The sequence below is a fragment of the Homo sapiens genome, chromosome 7, assembly GCF_000001405.40.
Source record: "Homo sapiens chromosome 7, GRCh38.p14 Primary Assembly".
Lineage (NCBI taxonomy): Eukaryota > Metazoa > Chordata > Mammalia > Primates > Hominidae > Homo > Homo sapiens.
Genome location: NC_000007.14, coordinates 146,887,825 through 146,909,529, shown reverse-complemented (window position 1 = coordinate 146,909,529; position 21,705 = coordinate 146,887,825). Strand labels below are relative to the sequence as shown.

The 21,705-nt window shown below is 37.3% G+C and overlaps 1 protein-coding gene across 2 annotated transcripts in view, besides 1 other annotated feature; it reads right to left on the bottom strand.

Moving 5' to 3' along the window:
* CNTNAP2 (contactin associated protein 2) overlaps positions 1–21,705 on the bottom strand; it is a 2,304,198-nt gene that overhangs the window by 1,511,469 nt on the left and 771,024 nt on the right. The gene's annotated exons all lie outside the window — the stretch shown is intronic.
* Positions 3,470–4,086: an enhancer, noted in NCBI's record as "OCT4-NANOG-H3K27ac-H3K4me1 hESC enhancer chr7:146602536-146603152 (GRCh37/hg19 assembly coordinates)". NCBI's record gives its function as "activates a minimal SCP1, AML or CMV promoter by ChIP-STARR-seq in primed H9 embryonic stem cells {active_cell/tissue: H9 hESC(primed)}" and the evidence as "EXISTENCE:reporter gene assay evidence [ECO:0000049][PMID:30033119]".

Here is a 21,705-nt window from a genome sequence, read left to right as displayed (position 1 = left end):
TATGCTGGATTACATTTATTGATTTGCATATATTGAACCAGCCTTGCATCCCAGGGATGAAGCCCACTTGATCATGGTGGATAAGCTTTTTGATGTGCTGCTGGATTCGTTTTGCCAGTATTTTATTGAGGATTTTTGCATCAATGTTCATCAAGGATATTGGTCTAAAATTCTGTTTTTTGGTTGTGTCTCTGCCCGGCTTTGGTATCAGAATGATGCTGGCCTCATAAAATGAGTTAGGGAGGATTCCCTCTTTTTCTATTGATTGGAATAGTTTCAGAAGGAATGGTACCAGTTCCTCCTTGTACCTCTGGTAGAATTCGGCTGTGAATCCATCTGGTCCTAGACTCTTTTTGGTTGGTAAACTATTGATTATTGCCACAATTTCAGCTCCTGTTATTGATCTATTCAGAGATTCAACTTCTTCCTGGTTTAGTCTTGGGAGAGTGTATGTGTCGAGGAATGTGTCCATTTCTTCTAGATTTTCTAGTTTATTTGCGTAGAGGTGTTTGTAGTATTCTCTGATGGTAGTTTGTATTTCTGTGGGATCAGTGGTGATATCCCCTTTATCATTTTTTATTGTGTCTATTTGATTCTTCTCTCTTTTTTTCTTTATTAGTCTTGCTAGTGGTCTATCAATTTTGTTGATCCTTTCAAAAAACCAGTTCCTGGATTCATTGATTTTTTTGAAGGGTTTTTTGTGTCTCTATTTCCTTCAGTTCTGCTCTGATTTTAGTTATTTCTTGCCTTCTGCTAGCTTTTGAATGTGTTTGCTCTTGCTTTTCTAGTTCTTTTAACTGTGATGTTAGGGTGTCAATTTTGGATCTTTCCTGCTTTCTCTTGTGGGCATTTAGTGCTATAAATTTCCCTCTACACACTGCTTTGAATGCGTCCCAGAGATTCTGGTATGTTGTGTCTTTGTTCTCATTGGTTTCAAAGAACATCTTTATTTCTGCCTTCATTTCGTTATGTACCCAGTAGTCATTCAGGAGCAGGTTGTTCAGTTTCCATGTAGTTGAGTGGTTTTGAGTGAGATTCTTAATCCTGAGTTCTAGTTTGATTGCACTGTGGTCTGAGAGATAGTTTGTTATAATTTCTGTTCTTTTACATTTGCTGAGGAGAGCTTTACTTCCAAGTATGTGGTCAATTTTGGAATAGGTGTGGTGTGGTGCTGAAAAGAATGTATATTCTGTTGATTTGGGGTGGAGAGTTCTGTAGATGTCTATTAGGTCCGCTTGGTGCAGAGCTGAGTTCAATTCCTGGGTATCCTTGTTGACTTTCTGTCTCGTTGATCTGTCTAATGTTGACAGTGCGGTGTTAAAGTCTCCCATTATTAATGTTTGGGAGTCTAAGTCTCTTTGTAGGTCACTCAGGACTTGCTTTATGAATCTGGGTGCTCCTGTATTGGGTGCATATATATTTAGGATAGTTAGCTCTTCTTGTTGAATTAATCCCTTTACCATTATGTAATGGCCTTCTTTGTCTCTTTTGATCTTTGTTGGTTTAAAGTCTGTTTTATCAGAGACTAGGATTGCAACCCCTGCCTTTTTTAGTTTTCTATTTGCTTGGTAGATCTTCCTCCATCCTTTTATTTTGAGCCTATGTGTGTCTCTGCATGTGAGATGGGTTTCCTGAAGACAGCACACTGATGGGTCTTGACTCTTTATCCAACTTGCCAGTCTGTGTCTTTTAATTAGAGCATTTAGTCCATTTACATTTAAAGTTAATATTGTTATGTGTGAATTTGATCCTGTCATTATGATGTTAGCTGGTGATTTTGCTCATTAGTTGATGCAGTTTCTTCCTAGTCTCGATGGTCTTTACATTTTGGCATGATTTTGCAGCAGCTGGTACCGGTTGTTCCTTTCCATGTTTAGCGCTTCCTTCAGGAGCTCTTTTAGGGCAGGCTTGGTGGTGACAAAATCTCTCAGCATTTGCTTGTCTGTAAAGTATTTTATTTCTCCTTCACTTATGAAGCTTAGTTTGGCTGGATATGAAATTCTGGGTTGAAAATTCTTTTCTTTAAGAATGTTGAATATTGGCCCCCACTCTCTTCTGGCTTGTAGGGTTTCTGCCGAGAGATCCGCTGTTAGTCTGATGGGCTTCCCTTTGAGGGTAACCTGACCTTTCTCTCTGGCTGCCCTTAACATTTTTTCCTTCATTTCAACTTCGGTGAATCTGACAATTATGTGTCTTGGAGTTGCTCTTCTCGAGGAGTATCTTTGTGGCGTTCTCTGTATTTCCTGAATCTGAACGTTGGCCTGCCTTGCTAGATTGGGGAAGTTCTCCTGGATAATATCCTGCAGAGTGTTTTCCAACTTGGTTCCATTCTCCACATCATTTTCAGGTACACCAATCAGACGTAGATTTGGTCTTTTCACAGTCCCATATTTCTTGGAGGCTTTGCTCATTTCTTTTTATTCTTTTTTCTCTAAACTTCCCTTCTCGCTTCATTTCATTCATTTCATCTTCCATCGCTGATACCCTTTCTTCCGGTTGATCGCATCGGCTCCTGAGGCTTCTGCATTCTTCACGTAGTTCTCGAGCCTTGGTTTTCAGCTCCATCAGCTCCTTTAAGCACTTCTCTGTATTGGTTATTCTAGTTATACATTCTTCTAAATTTTTTTCAAAGTTTTCAACTTCTTTGCCTTTGGTTTGAATGTCCTCCCGTAGCTCAGAGTAATTTGATCGTCTGAAGCCTTCTTCTCTCAGCTCGTCAAAGTCATTCTCCATCCAGCTTTGTTCCGTTGCTGGTGAGGAGCTGCGTTCCTTTGGAGGAGGAGAGGTGTTCTGCGTTTTAGAGTTTCCAGTTTTTCTGTTCTGTTTTCTCCCCATCTTTGTGGTTTTATCTACTTTTGGTCTTTGATGATGGTGATGTACAGATGGGTTTTCGGTGTGGATGTCCTTTCTATTTGTTAGTTTTCCTTCTAACAGACAGGACCCTCAGCTGCAGGTCTGTTGGAATACCCTGCTGTGTGAGGTGTCAGTGTGCCCCTGCTGGGGGGTGCCTCCCAGTTAGGCTGCTCGGGGGTCAGGGGTCAGGGACCCACTTGAGGAGGCAGTCTGCCCGTTTTCAGATCTCCAGCTGCGTGCTGGGAGAACCACTGCTCTCTTCAAAGCTGTCAGACAGGGACATTTAAGTCTGCAGAGGTTACTGCTGTCTTTTTGTTTGTCTGTGCCCTGCCCCCAGAGGTGGAGCCTACAGAGGCAGCCAGGCCTCCTTGAGCTGTGGTGGGCTCCACCCAGTTCCAGCTTCCTGGCTGCTTTGTTTACCTAAGCAAGCCTGGGCAATGGCGGGCGCCCCTCCCCCAGCCTCGCTGCCGCCTTGCAGTTTGATCTCAGACTGCTGTGCTAGCAATCAGCGAGACTCCGTGGGCGTAGGACCCTCCGAGCCAGGTGTGGGATATAGTCCCGTGGTGCGCCGTTTTTTAAGCCGGTCTGAAAGCTCAATATTCGGGTGGGAGTGACCCGATTTTCCAGGTGCGTCCGTCACCCCTTTCTTTGACTCGGAAAGGGAACTCCCTGACCCCTTGCGCTTCCCAGGTGAGGCAATGCCTCGCCCTGCTTCGGCTCGCGCACGGTGTGGTGCGTGCACCCACTGGCCTGCGCCCACTGTCTGGCACTCCCTAGTGAGATGAACCCGGTACCTCAGATGATTTCCAGAAATCACCCATCTTCTGCATCGCTCACGCTGGGAGCTGTAGACCCGGAGCTGTTCCTATTCGGCCATCTTGGCTCCTCCTTCGTAAACCAAATTTTATTGTATTAAGTTAAAAATTGTTATAGGTTTCATTCTGCTAATACAGTAACACCCACTGGCTTATCACTCATTGCCCACTGAGGTCCCATGCTTTAGAAGGAGGGCAAATGACAGCTACAAAGAAAAGTTGTTTGACTGTCACATTAGACTTCTTTGAGTCTCTGAATGAAAAAGACTTGGGGAAAGCTAGTCTCTGTGGAAGATCAAAATATTTTCTAAATTCTATACACTTTCTTTATAAATCAAGAGCCAGACTCAGGCAACTCTGATCAAAGAATTTTACTCCAAACTTCTGCTGGAACCAACTCGTAAGAGGATGAAAGGGGAAGTCCTTCCAAATAGGAAGAGAATGTAGAAAGAATTCTGTATCAAGGAAATTAAAGGTGAGGTGATGAGAATGTGGATAAAACCGGAGCCCCTAAGAGGACAGATTCCCAGTTCTCTGAGTCTCAGGCAGAAAGGTGTGGTAGGTGAAGGCCAAATTATAAAACTCCTGATGAAATCCTCACATCCCTCAAAGGCTAAGGAGGCATCCAAGATCTTCTAGGCCAGAGGCAATTTCCCCCTCCCGACTCCAGGGAACTTTTGATAAGTTCAGGAGACATTTTTGATTGTCACAACGTGAGTAGGGGCGGAGGTAGGCATTGTTACTAGTATCTGGCACCTGTTAGGCCTATGGGAAGGATTCGGCTAAGCAACAATGCAGAGGACAATCTCCCACTACACGGAATTATCTGTCCCCAAATGTCATAGTGCTGAGGTTGAGGAACACTAGGCTGGTGTTCTACTTCATTGCCACATCCAGTATGCGGTGGTAAGGTGTAAGGACAAAGGGACTTTTCAAGGTAGGTGAGCTTGAGATGTTACTCTTGGTTCCCTTCTATCTGCTCATACATAAAATTATTCCACATTAAGAAAACCATTGAACTTTGTGAGCAGCACAATACGATTCACAGTCAGTGACAAGAGCTGAGCCCCATGCTCAAAAGATGAATTCTCGGCCGGACGCGGTGGCTCACGCCTGTAATCCCAGCACTTTGGGAGGCCGAGGTGGGCGGATCACGAGGTCAGGAGATCGAGACCATCCTGGCTAATACAGTGAAACCCCGTCTCTACTAAAAATACAAAAAATTAGCCAGGCGTGGTGGCGGGTGCCTGTAGTCCCAGCTACTCAGGAGGCTGAGGCAGGAGAATGGCGTGAACCTGGGAGGCGCAGCTTGCAGTGAGCCGAGATCGCGCCACTGTGCTCCAGCCTGGGTGACAGAGCAAGACTCTGTCTCAAACAAACAAACAAACAAAGATGAATTCTCTCATTCAACAAAGTTTGAATGTCTTCTCAATAAATACCTGACATTGTTCTAGACACTAAGGGTACAGTATTATGTAAACCTGCCACATTTCGTGGCGAGATTACAGGGACCGAGTACAGGTATGGGGCCACAATTCTATAGAGGGTCTTCAGGGATGTTCTATCTGAAAAGGTGACGTGTATAGAGGTCCAAGGAGAAGCAACAGCAAATATAAGGTTCCTGAGCAGAGGTGTGCTTGCTATGCTAGAGTAACAACCAGGAGGCCAGTGTGAATGGAGACGAGTAAGTTAGAGGCAGGGTGGCTGAAAAGCTTGCTTATTGGTGAAATCATTAAGATATTGTGGGCTATTTTGAGAACCTGAGCTATTTAATAAGTAACATGGAAAGCAATGAAGGGTTGTGAGTGTTGAATTAACGTTATCTAATTTATACTTTTAAAAGAAATTTAACTTTATTTTAAATTGACATATAATAATTATGTATATTTACGGTGTACAATGTGATGTTTTGATTTACATATATAGTAGAGAAAAACTCAAATTAACATATTCTATGACCTCACCAATTTATCTTTTTTAATGGGGTGAAAATGTTAACAATCTATTCTTTTAACAATTTGGAGATATACATTATTACTAATGGCAGTCACTATGCGGGGCAAGAGATCAGCCAAACCTATTCCCCCAGTCTAGCTGAATCTTTGTAACCTTTGATTAATATCTTCTCTTTGCCCATCCTTTCCTCTCTCTCTGCAGGCCTCTGGTGACCACCTTTCTCCTCTCTAGGTCTGTGAGATCCGCTGATTCCTTTGCCTAAGGTTCTAAAGGAGATTGCAACAGGAGGATAGAGAGAGGTCAGATCTGGACCAGGGTGGTAATAAAAGATAAAAATCTTCTTGATGAATTCACTAATTTTGTATGAATAAAAGAACAAAGTTGTCATTTCTAAGATGGAAAGACTGAGAAGGATCAGGTTTTAGTTTCATTTTGTTTTATTTTGTTGGAGTGGGGGTCAGAAATTTGGTTTTTAACATATTAAGTTTGGGGAGCTTATTACATGCAAATGAAATTATTGAGTATGCAATTTGCTGAGTTGGGAGCTCAGAAGACAGATCTGGGGTAGAGTTATAAATTAGAGAGTTTTCAGCATAGTAATGGTGTTTACAGCTGTGAAAATGGGTATATCTCATAAGAAAATGATTCTCAAGCTATCTCTGGTGACAAAACAGGATTTTATCCAACCCCTCAAGGTCCGATATTTGATCGCACTGTGCATGGCCAGTGTGTAATCCACAGAAGTGAGTCTGGCATTACCTGAACTGAACAATACCCTGTTTAATGGTACAAGCCCATAGATCACAGTCTTGAATGTTGCCCCAACGTGAAGTTGATAAAAATGTGTTCCAACTCTTGCTCCCAATATCGGTAGATATGTCATTTGAGGACCAGTAAAATCAGCTGGTAGTCCAGAGGCAGTCTGCATGCTCTACTCGAGTAGTTCTGACCAGTCACTGAGTCAGTGTGGTTAGAGAGGAGACAATGACATCATGTGATTTGCTGGGCATGTGTTTCATGACCTTACCACACGTCGGAAAAACCATGTCATCGAGGGCCCATCTCGGGAAACAGAGATTTCATCCTCACTGCCCTGAGGCTGCAATGGCAGCCACATGCTCTCAGCTACTTTATTGGTGGGGATAAGAAAGTGAGGAGCAGCTCATGAGACGGAACATTTACAAGAAAGGGCTCCAGTTAACCAGAAGAGACTAGGTTAACGTTCACTGGCTCGTTTAAACTGTCTCTGGCATTAGTGGAAATGGAAGTTTGCAAGGGAAGTTAGCTTAAATGAAGAGAAAGTGATGAAAGCCACAGGTGGTTGTCCTGCATATGAATTGTGAAAATTTTCATCTGCATACTGTTTTTGCATACCCTTTATACAGTTTCTACATATAAGATTACAATGTGGTGGAAACTTGCCATAACTCTTTTCTTATTATAGCAAAATTCAGTATGAACCAGTTTTGTCCCAAGTGTCATATAAGTTCCAGTTATTTAAGTACTAGAAGAAATGTACGTTACTGTAATATAGCTTCTTTGAAATATGGATGAAGAAACAAAGTATATTTCAAAAGCACTGCATTCTTTAGATTCAGAAGAGGGATTAAAAGTGAGAAATTATGAGTAGTTCAGGAGAGCATATGATGAAAGCCACAATCTCCCCTACACTCACTGCCAGCCACTGCTCCTGAGGAAGATAAAGTAAAAAATGGAGCATATGGCTGAGCACGGTGGCTCACGCCTGTAATCCCAGCACTTTGGGAGGCCGAGACGGGTGGATCACGAGTTTAGGAGATCGACACCATCCTGGCTAACACGGTGAAACCCCGTCTCCACTACAAATACAAAAAAAAAGAAAAATTAGCCGGGCGAGGTGGCAGGCGCCTGTAGTCCCAACTATGCGGGAGGCTGAGGCAGGAGAATGGCGTGAACCCGGGAGGCGGAGCTTGCAGTGAGCCGAGATCGCACCACTGCACTCCAGCCTGGGTGACAGAGCCAGAGACCGTCTCAAAAAAAAAAAAAAAAAAAAAAAGGAGCATATATGCAAGAAAAACTGTAAAGGGCTCAAAGAGCAACAAATATACTCCTTCAAAGTTCACATTAGTAAAAGTAGAAGAATAAACAATACAATTGTTAGCAAAAATAATTTTTTTCAGAGTCCTGATATTTCCCCAGCCATCTAATACAACTGACTTTGTCTTTTAGTTTTTGATATCCAATCCAAGTAAGTACTGATATTTCCTTTGGATTTTAATATACTCATTGCATATTTAAGTTTTTCCTACTGCAAATTCCATAAGGAATCTAGAACAGAGATGAAATTTTAGAAAGTGATTCTGTTTATTTCATCCTCTTTGGCTTTTATTTTGCCGTTTAAGTCAAATTCCATTTTCTAGGACATATATTGCATGTTCCATTATTTAGAACATTGACAAAGTGTAATGCTCTTTAATTCTTTCCCTGTGTATTCATCCATGTATTCATAATATCTGAGAAATTATACAGAAAGCTATTTTAATTGCTTTTGCTAGCTTTTTGATACCAATTATGCATACATACAGATATTTTATTCTTAGCAAACATCTGGAAATAATTTTTGTTTTCTATGGAAATGTAAAACTTCATTGGGCATTATAGCTTTTACTCAGCAGAAACTGTTGAGGCTCGGGTGAATTAAGCACACTAGAGAATTATTTTCTCCATAATATTCCTTTATTTATATTTTGATAAGTAGCTGCTGTTTGCATTAAGTGGATTTTTCTGTTTTTTAGCCTAAGTTTAATATCTTAAAAAATAGCTTTTGTTTTACCTGTGTTGACATCTTAGGTCCAGAGATAAAGAAACATTATTATTATTATTATTATTATTATTACTACTTTAATCAGAATAGCATTGTTGATTTCTATATTTTCTGAAGCATAGTCTTAGAATATAAAATAAAGCAGTATATTATGAGGACAGAGGATTCATTTGTTCATTGAATATTTAACTGATATTTATTACGTGTCCACTAGGGACAGGAATTATGCTAAGCAGTGAATGAATAAGATGGTCTGGATTCCCAAGAGACTCGGTGCAGGTAGAAGAGAGAGCCAAGTGAGCATAGGAGTGTAATGAAATTCAGTAAGTATTCTGCGCTCGGATAGCAATATGAATAGGTAACTCTGTAGACTCCTAATGAGGTTCAGAGAAAGCTGACAGAGGTACTGCCTCATTGGAGTCTGGGGAGAAACACAGGAATTAAGCAGAATGAATCAGGAGGTATGGGACTGGGAGTGGGAGAGGAGTGGATGATGAAGTGGGAATAGAAATAGTGGCAGGAGATGGGACTAGCAAGATAGGCCAGGGCTTGACTGGATAAGGCCCTATCAGCCATTCAAATACATTTAGATTTTATCTTAGAGAGCAGAGCAAGGTTTAGAACAGTTGGGGATGGGGTGAAGCTGTGGAGTGGAGACATGGTTAAGTAAACTGCTTTCCCTCTTGAAAAACTTTCAAATGAATTGACTTGCAGATGGTCAGGACTAGAAGCAGGAAGGCTATTTAGAAAATTATTCGAGTAATTTGAGTTGGATCGTAATAAGGCTTAAACTAAAACAGAAAAATGAATAATGTATTACATTTACTCTAGAGATGTTGTGATGACAGAACTGACAGAATTTGGTGATTGACTATGCTACAGGACAACACTAAAAAATATCCCGATGGCCAGGAAGCTCCTGACAGTATACTTAGGAAATCTCCTCTTTTAGTTTTGAGATACTGTTTAGGCCTTTACTTATCTACTTGTCTATAGCAAGTAGTTAACAACAAGTAGTACTGAAATTATAGCTTGAATTACATAATGGTGAAAAATGAGTAAATACCAAATAAAATATAACTGATTTCCAGCTCGTTGAGGGTAAACTTAAAATAGTCTCAAACTATTGCTTACTTCTAACTTTCCACCTTCAACAATCACTTATAGGGACATCTATCTTTAAGGGATGAGATACTGGTTAATATCCAAAAGCTCCCATAAACAGGGCCACTTGCTCTTATCATAATGCACTGTCACATAGAGCAGTTTGCTAAGCACTTGTTTTGGAGGATGGTTCTGACAAAGATTCCTTGAGATTATCTGCTCCTTAGCTAACTTTGGGTCCTCCAGATGTTGGTGAATGCATATTACTGAGACAATTCTGAGGCAGAGAAAAATTTGAGGACCTGTCCTATCCCTTGGATTTCCTGGTTCTTCTTCCGTGAGCCTATCTATCTGGAATTGGTTTGAGCAGAACTCAACTACTGACTATTCTGCATTCTCTGCCATGACACCAACCTGTTTTATTACAAGTTGTTAGGTAGAAATAAACTGAATTGTTAAAGTGAAATTTAAAACAAAGGGCACAAAATACAGGTTCAATGCATGCAGGGAAAGTGAAAGAGAGAAGAGCCAGGAATGAATCTTGGCTTCTGGCTTATTCAACTAGATGTTCTATTTCTAGAATAAGAAGAGGTTTCGGGGCTCTCACCTGGAATGTGCTGAGGACAGGAATGAATGCGATTTGAGTATGCTGGTTTCAGGACCCCGAAGAAAAGTCCAATAAACTTGTCTTGTTGGCAACTGGGTAAGAAATTCTGGAACTAAGCAAATGGGATTGTAATGGAGATGGAATTTGGGAAGTCAGCAACATGAGATTAAAGCCATGGGCCTAGATAAAATTACTTGAGAATGTGTGGAATAAGAAGAGAAAGCAGATAGTGGATCTATGAGAATACCAACATTCTCTGGAAGAGGGTAATCCACAAACAGGGTGAGAACAACTGGACAAAGACAAAAACTGGAAGAAACTAAAGAGGCTATTTTAAGAAACTGGGAATAAAAGAAAGTTTCCAGTGCCACACAAAGGTTGAATAATTTATGCACTTAAATGGTTTCATTGAATTTAAAACAAGGAGATGACAGGTAAATTTGACAAAAATCACTTTCAGTGGCGTTTGCAATGGGAGGAAGAAGGTAGAGATAGCAATTTTTTTTTTAATGAGAAAAAAAGTGGCAGATCAGACATTATGTTAAAAAGTAGAGAGGGCTGGCCCCTTTTAAGGTCTACACCTGCAAGAGTCAAAGTGTCTTTTTTTTCATTGCATGTACTCAATCGGTTAAACAAGTCACAAATTGAGTATCGGAAGAAACCACACAAAAACATGAAGACTGTGAGGACTCTGTCACTGAGGCCATCTTTGGAGATTAGGTACCACAAAGACAAAAGTTAACATAGTCTTATAGCTGATATTTATTTTTCAATACAGCTTGCGGTTATAATGTGGTAGTTTATACACTCAATTAGATTATTCATACACACACACACACAATAGATGCCATTTCCTTAGGCAGTAAGAAGAGTTTTTTTTTTTATTATTATTATTGTTTTTTTAAATACCAGTTGCACAACTAATTTAAAATAAAGTGGTTGAAACTCTCATTTAACTAGGGAAAGCAAATGTTCAGAAAATTCTGTATTTTGAGAATCCTAATCAATACATATATAGCTTAGATCCTTCCTGAGTGATGTCTTTGCTCCATATTTTTGTGCTCACTAAGAAACCAATTGAAAACAATAAAACTATTTTTAAAATTTTACCTTCCTGGCCAATTCTGTCACAGCAGGTGATCTCTATTTTTTAATTTGTAAATTTCTAAAACTTCAGAAATTATTGTGTATTTATATATTAAAATCCAGAAGATAATTGCAGAATTGACAATAAGTTATATACTGTTTGTAGTTAACTTTGCATATCAATTTTTCCATTATCTTTTCAAAAGATCAAAATAATATACTATGATGTCCATGTATATTATTCTATGATTATTTTAGGAATCATTAAGAGAAGCTTTAACACATTTCTGGAATGCTAGTGAAATGTATATATCACAAACCATTTGTAAACGGCATTCACTGAATTGTTTTTAGATATTAAAAATATATATAAACATTCCTTAATTAAAATTCTAGGGGGATAAATGAGGCATGCTCCAACAATTTTTCTTATCTAATTCCTAAGGAAACACAAAATTATTTTTAAAAAAACACATTAAACTTAGACAAATATATCTCTGATAGTCTTGAAAAAATGAGGCTAACTTAAAAATTTAACTATGGTCAATTGATTCTGCAGAGTGGGTGGTAGGCTATTGACTTTTTAAGATACTGCTCTAGAGAAAAATATCATCACTGATGTGTACTAAGAAAGGGCAGAGACAAATTTGTAAGGGAAAAGTTTAGCTCTCAAAAGGTTTCCACAGCAGAAGTGTTTCCTAAAGGCCAAGAAAAAAAAAAAATCTGCGTACTGAGCAAGAAATCAGTGTATAAAATCCAGTTTCTGTAGGGAAGCTGGATTGCCTGTTGGATTCTACAACGTAGGTCTCGAGCTGGTGGCTTTTGGCCTCCACGAACCATAAAGAGCTTTGTTTGGCCTAGAGTCTTAAAATATTTTAAATTACTGACCAAATCTTAAAATCACAAGTCTTTACACTAGAATTCTGATATCAGGATTTTCCTAAAGCACCAGAATATGCTGGCCTCCAAGTTCAAACATGGCCTACCTTATTGTTGCACTTCAACTGCCTTCTGATATGTGTTGGCATTTGAATTCGAGAACCTCAACTTAAATGTCAGACAAGTTACGTAAAAGTTGAAAACAGGTAAAATAGACACTGAGTAGTATCTCAGTGTAATGATGGGCTTGATTTTCCAATTTCTAGATTATGTTACACCTCTGTGGGGCAGAGAGTAAGAGTGACGTTTTGACTTTTGTCTAGTGAGAGATGCCCTCATAAAATGAGGTTACTTGTGTTCAATATGAAACTAATTTCTGTCCAGGGCAATATGCAGAGAAATACGGTTTCTCTGTCAGACATCATTCAGTTTTGTATGAAATTTCAAAATATTGCCCTTACATTATATATTAAATACTCTTTATCTAAATCCTTAATTGCAATTTAGCCCAGTTTGGTTATCTTAAAATTTCCCTCATTAATTAATAAGTTAAATAAATCATCATTAAAAATATTTTATATTTGCCTAAACATTATAATTTTACTAGTTATAATTTTATTAAAGTAAAATTACTTACTAAAGTAAAATTATATTGTAACAGAAGAAAATAAACTAATTATCAGAATTATTTAAGCAAAAGCTTATATTTTCTTATTGTACTTTGCTTGGGCTTAGTTTCTATTCTATTAGGTCGGTGCAAAAGTAATTGTGGGTTTTGCCATTAAAAATAATGGCAAATTTGCAATTGCTTTTGCACCAACATAATATTTGATATTGCCTGGTTTGTTGATCAGCCAACAAAATTGTATTGATTCTATTTATAAAGACATACAGTATAGCTCTCAACAGTTCAGAGTATAGTGACTGAGAAATATTTAAAAAATAGTTATTATAATGCAAACTGTTAAATGTAGAGGTAGATATTCACAAGATACTACGGGGAACAGAAAAAAAAATGTACACGTGGTTGGGGAATTAGGGAGACTGCCTAGTGGAGATAATAAGGATTAGTAGGCATCACCCAAGTAAAAGAGTTGAAGAGGAAGTCTTTCCTGCAAGACCAGGAATCAGGCATTGCCTAAAAGGGTGTATGCAAGTTTGGAATGGGTTGGGGGTGATAATAAATGAGCCTGTTTTAATTGTTGTATTTATAGCAAAACTAAGATGAGGTTATGCTGGGTATTTAAATCAATCATTCTGGATTCATGTGATTCTGCATCCTATCCCACCACTCTGAAGCTTATTTTGTTTCTCAGATTTAAATTTGTCTGCATTTGACATTTTAGATAATAGTATATCCCAATAAATCACCTTAAATTTAAAAGAAAAATAAAGTTTCTGGAGGAAGGAAAACGATTATCCAAAACTCTTACTTGACTTCTTAAGTATGGTGTACTTAGATTGCCAGTAGTTGAGAAAATGCAATATTTTATAATAATCCTCCACAGAAAGATACTTTAGTAAATCTTAGTACATATGAATAGTTGCAACCACTCATGTGAAAATGAGAATTTATGCCGTCGGGGACTGAAGCTCAAAATAGCTTTATTCAGGTACTTTGAGACAATGACATAATGAGTTAACTTTGGAGATATGACCATTTGAGGGTCTCCCATTGCATCTCACATTTCAAAAGAGAAACTCCTTTTTCGGAGAAGTTATGTGTCCATGGTGCCATGTAATTGTCTAAGAGCCATCAGTAAGCTAGCAATACTTTTATGTATTTCCACGTGATTATATCCCATAGATGTACCCCATAAATATGAACAATTATTACATACTAACAAAAATATCAAAAATGGCTCTAAATTAATTTATATGGTGTTTCAATGTTATGTTTTTACAACTACAGATACACATAATTTGATTATGAGATTTTATTGTACTCACACACATATAGCTAATTACATCCTAATCCATTATTTGTAACTGTATATCCTGTGTGAATTTCATGATTAAATTTAGTTTTATTTGGAAGGCTTTGCAATGCAAGGAAATAGGAAAAAAGAAAGAGAGAAAGAGAGAGAAAGGAAGGGAGGGAGGGAAGGACGGAGGAAGGAAGGAGGGCGGGAGGGAAGGAAGGAAGGAAGGAAAGAAGGAAGGGGAAGGAAGTAAGAATAAGGAAGGAAAGAAAAAAGGAAGGAAGGAAAAGGAAGGAAGGAAGGGAAGGATGTAGGAAGGGAGGGAAAGAAGGCTGGAAGGGGATTAAAACACCTAGATAAGATAAAGACACATTAATCTTAAGCTAAACGTACAGGTTTAGAATAATTTTTTCTTTCATTATAGCATAAGAAATACTGCAGTACAAGAAGGAAAAACTGTCCCTGTAGATGGGATCCCATGCATAATATAAATGCTAAATAATTATCTTACAGCAGTTTCAAATGGTTGGGAGAATGTAGTAACCTAAGCAAAGAGTACTTGCTTATGAAGGCCAGCATTGAGGCTGACAATTTCCATAGTGTTTTCAAAAAGTTTTTCAGAATTCTCAACCACTCAATTATTAAATATTCTTCAGTCAAGGTCGGCCATCAGCAAACACTGTTCATTCATATTTATTGGATATCGATTGTATGGTAGCTGATGGGAATGTAAAGTTAACCTACATGAAACACCAGTTTTCTTCAAAGAATTAGAAAAGTAAATTAAATATTAAAGAACATTTTACACTATCTGTTCTTACAGAGGTATGTACAAGTTAATAAAAAAATGCAGACCAAAAGGCAAAAGCACCCAACAAAAGAGATACACAGGTCAAGGAAATTGTTTAAAGTTATCACTTTAAATTGAATTATTTTTCATGGCGAACCACAGGGGCAGCAGCATTTCAAGCTTAGGAATTCATGTACAAAAGATTGAAGCATAAGAAAACAACTAGTTAAAACAAGAGAAAACCAAAACAAAACAAAAACAAGAAAAACAAAACAACAACAAAAAACACACAGAGTTTTAAAAATGCTGAAGCAAAGAGTGCCAGATGAAGAGGAGCAAAAGATTAATTTGGAAATATAAGCCACAGATTTCGAAGGGTATTGTTTCCCATATAAAGGAATTTGGCCCTTATTCTGTATACTAACCTGGGTTAAGAAACAATTTCCTAAAACACTGAAATATTTCTAAGGCATTACTATGTCATTGGAAACATAGGAGACAGAGAATATATTGTTTCCTTTACGCCCTTTCCAGTAAACAGTATAAGTATTTGGAAGAAATTGTCCAAAAGTTGCTTGGTGTATGGTAGGAAATGGCCAGGAAATGGCAGGTGTGTTATAAGTGAAGGACAACAGGTGGCTCGACACCTCTGCAGTGAGCAACCAGTGGTCCTTTCACAGTTTCTATAGGCAGTATCCACTGTCTTCTCTAAATAACTAATTAACAAATATTTCAAGAACATAGTCTTAAAGGATAGCCAGAATATTACTCTCCTAGGTTTTTACATAGCTCGGTTTGTACCCATCTTCCACAAGAGGCAGGATGTCATCTTTGACATCTTCTTACTTCTTCTATTGAAACTTCTTCCTCTAAAGTCACCCATTTGTTAACTGATGTGCGCTTAGTGGATTATTCCTCAACCCATAGACACACATATAATTGCTGAAGGTGGCAACATCAGTGGGTAGGAAAAATGGCTGGATTCCTTGAAGACTATCCTAAAGAGACAGGCAGTATGGCTGATTATGGTAGCTTTCTATCCAGTCTTCAAATATTCAGCTATCATTCACCAAACTTCTTGCAGGACCGGAAGCTAGAACAGATGAATAGTCAGTCATCTATTCTACCCACTTAGAATATCTTTTTCTTAACCTGTACATGCTTCTGCTCCAGGAGAGAAAATGCATTTCCCTCCTGAGGGAAAAACAAAATATTTCTCTCTCTCTCCATATATATATATGTATGTATATATATACACACACACATATATACATACACACACATATGTATATATACATATATGTATATATGTAATAAATGATCTCTATATAGAGATATATGATAGATTTATCTTAAAATATCTATTTACCTATATATATTTAATCACTGCATTTTATAACTCTCTTCAGCACGATAAATTCTTTTCAGAAGGAATCTGTCAAAGGTATAAAATTTAAAACTCAAAATTAAACTGAAATTATGCTTTGATCGTGACTAGGAAAAAATGAAATAGCTCATTATATACTGGTTTTAGGTAGAAAGAACAAAAGGGGCAAAATGCCTTCTTTCTTCTGACACAGAAATAGATAACAATGCAAGAGATATAAAATAAATGCATTTGTTAACTGTATGCATATCAGACCACAAAAGTCCATATGTATAAAACATCTTTACAAACAATATATATTTTTTCCTACCAATTACTGTCACTATTATTTATCATGGCTTTTCCTATGAATTTATATATGTTTACAAAAACATGAGTTGTCTCTGCATATAGAGATTTAAATATCAAGTTGGAGTCCTCAAGAAGATTACGATCAGAAGTTTATACCTATCTGGAATAATTTTGCAAACATTCACTTATTGAGTAACATTGAATCATTTGAATGTAAAAAATAAATCATTAAAGAACTGATATAGTATAATTTTTTTCTTTGAGATAGTGTCTCACTCTGTCACCCAGACTGGAGTGCAGTGGTGCAGTCTCAGTTCACTGCAACCTCTGCCTCCCAGGTTCAAGTGATTCTCATGCATCAGCCTCCCAAGTAGCTGGGATTACAGGCATGTGCCACCACGCCCAGCTAAGATATAATTCTTGGCTTCCTGTAGGGCAAGAAATTTGATGCATGTTGGCTAAATATTTGAAGACTAGATAGGCAGTCACCATAACCGATTATACTTCCTTGTCTCTTATCTCTTGACTTGAGATAAAAATAACATTATCATAATAAATTAAGATGGCTACAAATTCTATGGCTCTCTTCTCATTGAGAGGAGAAGTCTGTCTCTGCCTCTTAAAACTGAGCTGGCTTTGTGGCTGCTTCAACCAATGGAATGATTGGAATGTGACAGGTTACCAGTTTCTTGGCTCTGGACCTAAAAGATTGGCTGCATTCACTTCCTGTGTCATGGAAAATTCATACTTGGGATCAGGCACTGTGCTGTCAAAGTCTCAGTAACCTATGGAAATGCCCACATGAGGAGAAAGTAAGGCCCCAGATGAGCTCTCAGCTGATAACAGCATCAACTTGCCAGCCATTGAGTGGGCCGTCTTGGAAGAAGTTCCTTCAATCTAAGCTGAGCCATTTCAGCTGATGGCACACAAAGCACAAATGAACTGCTGCCACCAACTCTACCCAAGTTGTAAATTCATGAGTAAAATAAATATTGCTGCTGTTGTTTAAAGCTACTAAGTTTTTCAGTGGTTCATGATACAGCAATAGATAACCAGTAATTTTATGTTGGCCAAAACATTAATAGGTGGGAAGAGGTGCCAATGAGTAGTAGAATGTGTATGAGGTTCATGTAAAATGATATCACAAACATTGTCAGAAATACAAAAGTTATAACAAGAATAAAAAAATGGATACCATTTCTTGTGCCAACTTCATAGGTAAATTGTAGTTTCTTAGAGTGCTGTGTTGACGAGGCCTGCTATGCCAGCTGGTGACAGTGGGAGCTGACACTGATTGATTACCACCACGTATTTGTCATTAACAACCTTGAGACATTTGCCCATTTTTGCTGTTGTTATGTTCATGTTAGAAGATCCTTCATAATGTCATATTATTGTAAAAAATCATTCACCAGAAAATAAGAACAAAAACTGTTCATATTCATTCAGGTACTTGGGACTGCCAAAAAAATACACAGAGCTGATATTTCATGTATGCCTGTAATTTCTGTGTAATTTATCTTTTGCATAACTTCTGACTTTTTTCACCTAAAACATTACATATTTTCAGCTAACATACTGGGTAAAACATCGTGCAAATTTGTCTTTTATTTTTATTTAATTTTCATAATTTCAACTTTTACATTCGGGGGTATACGTGCAGATGTGTTGCATGGGTATATTGTGTGACACTGAAGTTGGGGGTACAAATGATCCTATCACCCAGATAGTGATCACAGTACCCAATAAGTAGTTTTTTAGGCTTGAACCCATTCCTGTCTCCTCCACTTAGTAGTCCACAGTGTCTAGCTATTATTCCCTTCTTTATGTTGAAGTGTACCCAATGCTTAGCTCTCACGTATAAATGATAGTGTATGGTATTTAGTTTTCTGTTCCAGCATTAATTCACTTAGGATAATGGCCTCTAGCTGCATCCATGTTGCTGCAAGGAACATAATTTTGTTTATTTTTTGTGGCTGCATAGTATTCTATGAGATATATATGTATGTATCACATTTTCATTATCCAATCCACCATTGATGGGCACCTGGGTTGATTCCATATCTTTGCTATTGTGATAGTGCTGTGATAAGCACACCAGTTCATGTGTCTTTTTGGTAGAATGATTTATTTTCCTTTGGGTATATACCCAGAAATGGGATTGCTGGGTAATCTGTCTTTTAATTCCAGGGCTAATATCAAGTAATGATGTATGATCATAGTTACACAGGCTGATGTAAACCACAGTTAAACTGGTTCACTCATGTTGGAAACAAAGCCATTGTCATTTTCAAAATGTTTAAAAGCCTAAAGAAAATTTGCATTTACTTGTATAATGACTGATGTAAATACCAAGATACATTTATTTTGATTAGGTTTATTTAACTTATTTTTAATAACTTGTTTTTTAGCTCATGATCATCAAAAATGATGATGAGAAGCTATACATGCTTGATTAGCAAAAGTGGAAAATAAATTATAACTCAACAGATGTGGTTTGTTTGATAGACAAATATTTCAAAACATGGCATCTCTGGTTGAAATACACAATATAATCAGTAGCTGACAGGAAAATTTTAAAAAGTGGTGCCATGTCTATGTTGAAAAGCTGGCTGGAAATGAAGGCTGAAACCTGATCTGGATTCTCCATCTGGTCTACTTTTAAAAATCTGTGGGTCCTTGGGCAAAGCACTTCACAACTCTGCTTATTTTCTCACTTGTGGTCAGGACAGCGATACCAGCTTCAACTGACTACTTTGAAGAGAGTGAAATAAAATAACATTCTACATAAAATACTGTCGAGATCTGAAGATAGCCTATGAGTGTGTCGTGGTAGAAGACAAAATCAGGGCATATCTTTAATACATTTTCCCACTTTTTAAATATGAAGGACCTTGGGACACAGGTGGCATTTTCATCTTTGCTTCCAATGAAAGTTGGAAATTTGGAAGATAAGGGATGCTGTGGAGCTTGGATCTCTGTCTCAGTTGCTGGCTGGCAGCACATAATGTGATTTGGCTTTCTGTACCATGAATATACCCAAGTGATAGACGCTTGGCTAGGGCACCTGAGAGCTCCTAATGAGGACGAGAAAGAAAATGCCTGCCTGGAGAATTTCCAATCTCATCAATAATACTCAAATCTAAATTAGAATCGGAGTGAGAAAAAAGTCCTAGATAAAATTATAAAACAGGATACCAAGAAAGACATGGGGATTGATGAAGAAAGTATGATCAAGACAGACATGCCTGGTAATTTATATGATAATATAATAGGAAGGAGCTTCAGAAAACTTTCTGTGTTCTCCGTAGTCTATACACTAGGAATAAGTGATGAAGAACAAGGTATTGTAATTTTAACAAGAAGATGTAAAAGTAAAATTTTAGATATGATCAAGATTCAGTGGTTTCGATTCAACTAAAAAACAATAATGGAAATGTACATTTTATTTAAAATAAGAAGACCATGCAGAATAAAATAGTAAATTAAAGCAAATTACAGCTCATTTTTAATATAGAGGTTTAAGTCATATCACAATACAGCTTAGTATTGGGAAGACACGTCTATGAATCTCACTGTTTACAGATGAATGACTTGCATCTGAGAGTTAAGGAGACTTACCCAAGACCACAAATTTAATAAACAGTAGAGTTTAAATTTACACTTGGCCTCCGTCCTGAAGTCTATTGCTGTATTCTACCATATTTCTGGAGTTTCTCTGTATCAAAGAAGATTTACACATATTTTAGATTCAATGACCCTAGGAAGAAATATCTAAATATATATAAGAAAGCTATACTTATAACATTTTTTGAAAAACAGAAAAAGCAACTAATTAAAACTTTTTTAAAAACTGCTTTATTGAGGTATAATTAATATAGAAAAAGCTGTACACATTTAATGTAAACAATGCAATGAGTTTAGGGATAAGTGTGCTGGTGAAACCATCATCACCATCAAGGCAATAAACATATCTATCAGTTCCCAATGTTTCCTCCCACTCTATTATTTTCTGTGTGTGCATGTGTGTATCTGTGTGTCTCTGTGGTTAAGAACTATCTACTTAGGAAATTGTAATATGCAACGTAGTATCATTAGCTATAGGCACTGTGCTTGATACTAGCTCTCCAGGACTTATTTACCTTGCATAACTGAGATGTTGCCCCCTTTGACCATCATATCCCCATTTCCCCTTCCCCTTATCCCCTGGCAACCACTCTTCTACTCTCTGTGAGTTTTACTATTTTTAACCCACATGTAGGTAACATCATATAGTGTTTGTCTTTCTGTGTCTGGTTTATTTTACTGAACATAATGTCCTCCAGATCATCTATGTTGTCTCAAGTGACAGGATTTCCTTGTTTTTTAAAGCTGAATAATATTTCAGTGTATGTATATACTATATAATCTGGACCAAATTCTTATCAAGATGAAAAAAAAATGGGTAGGCAGAATAGAAGTGAAAAAGGTCCTAGGAAATGGTGGTCTTGATTATTTCAATTTAATGATAACTAAAAAGGAAAGCATTAGAATATAGTTAAATTTAAATTTTTGATAAGGAAAAACACATGATGTGGAAGTTACCTTACATATGAAATGATAGAGTAAAATACAATTGTTACCAATATATCAATAAAAGGTAAATGAAAGTTAATTAACAAGTGATAGAAAGTAAGGTAAAATTAATTTGTTAGCCATATATGTATAAAATATTCTGGAGAGAAAAAAATAGAAACGTTATAAAATTGAGAAAATTTCCACACGAGTTCTACTATTCAGATATCATCAGGTTCTGCCCAAAATAAAACCAAAGTATATTTAATGAAGGTTAAATAAAATGATACCATGTTGTAAATAACATTGTTTAAAGAAATATTATATAATTTTCAAAGATTTGGAACTCTGTTTGAGTAAGAAGAGGGAAAAAAACACAAAAACCTGGTCCTTGAGGCTAATGATCTAATGTCAATGGATGATAGATTAATTCATTGGCTAGATTTTCTAAGTAAATAAATTTTGGACTTAAATACTTGGTAGTCAGAGCTAAAAATCAAGGTTATCAAAGATAACATAAACATATACAGAACAACCCTAAGTCAGTTTATATCTCTAAGACTAAAAGTGGACACCCTAACATAAGAAAAGAACTTAGATAAATTCTTTTTGACTAATTGTAGGTTATACAAGAAATGCTAGGGTGGTCAAGGAAATG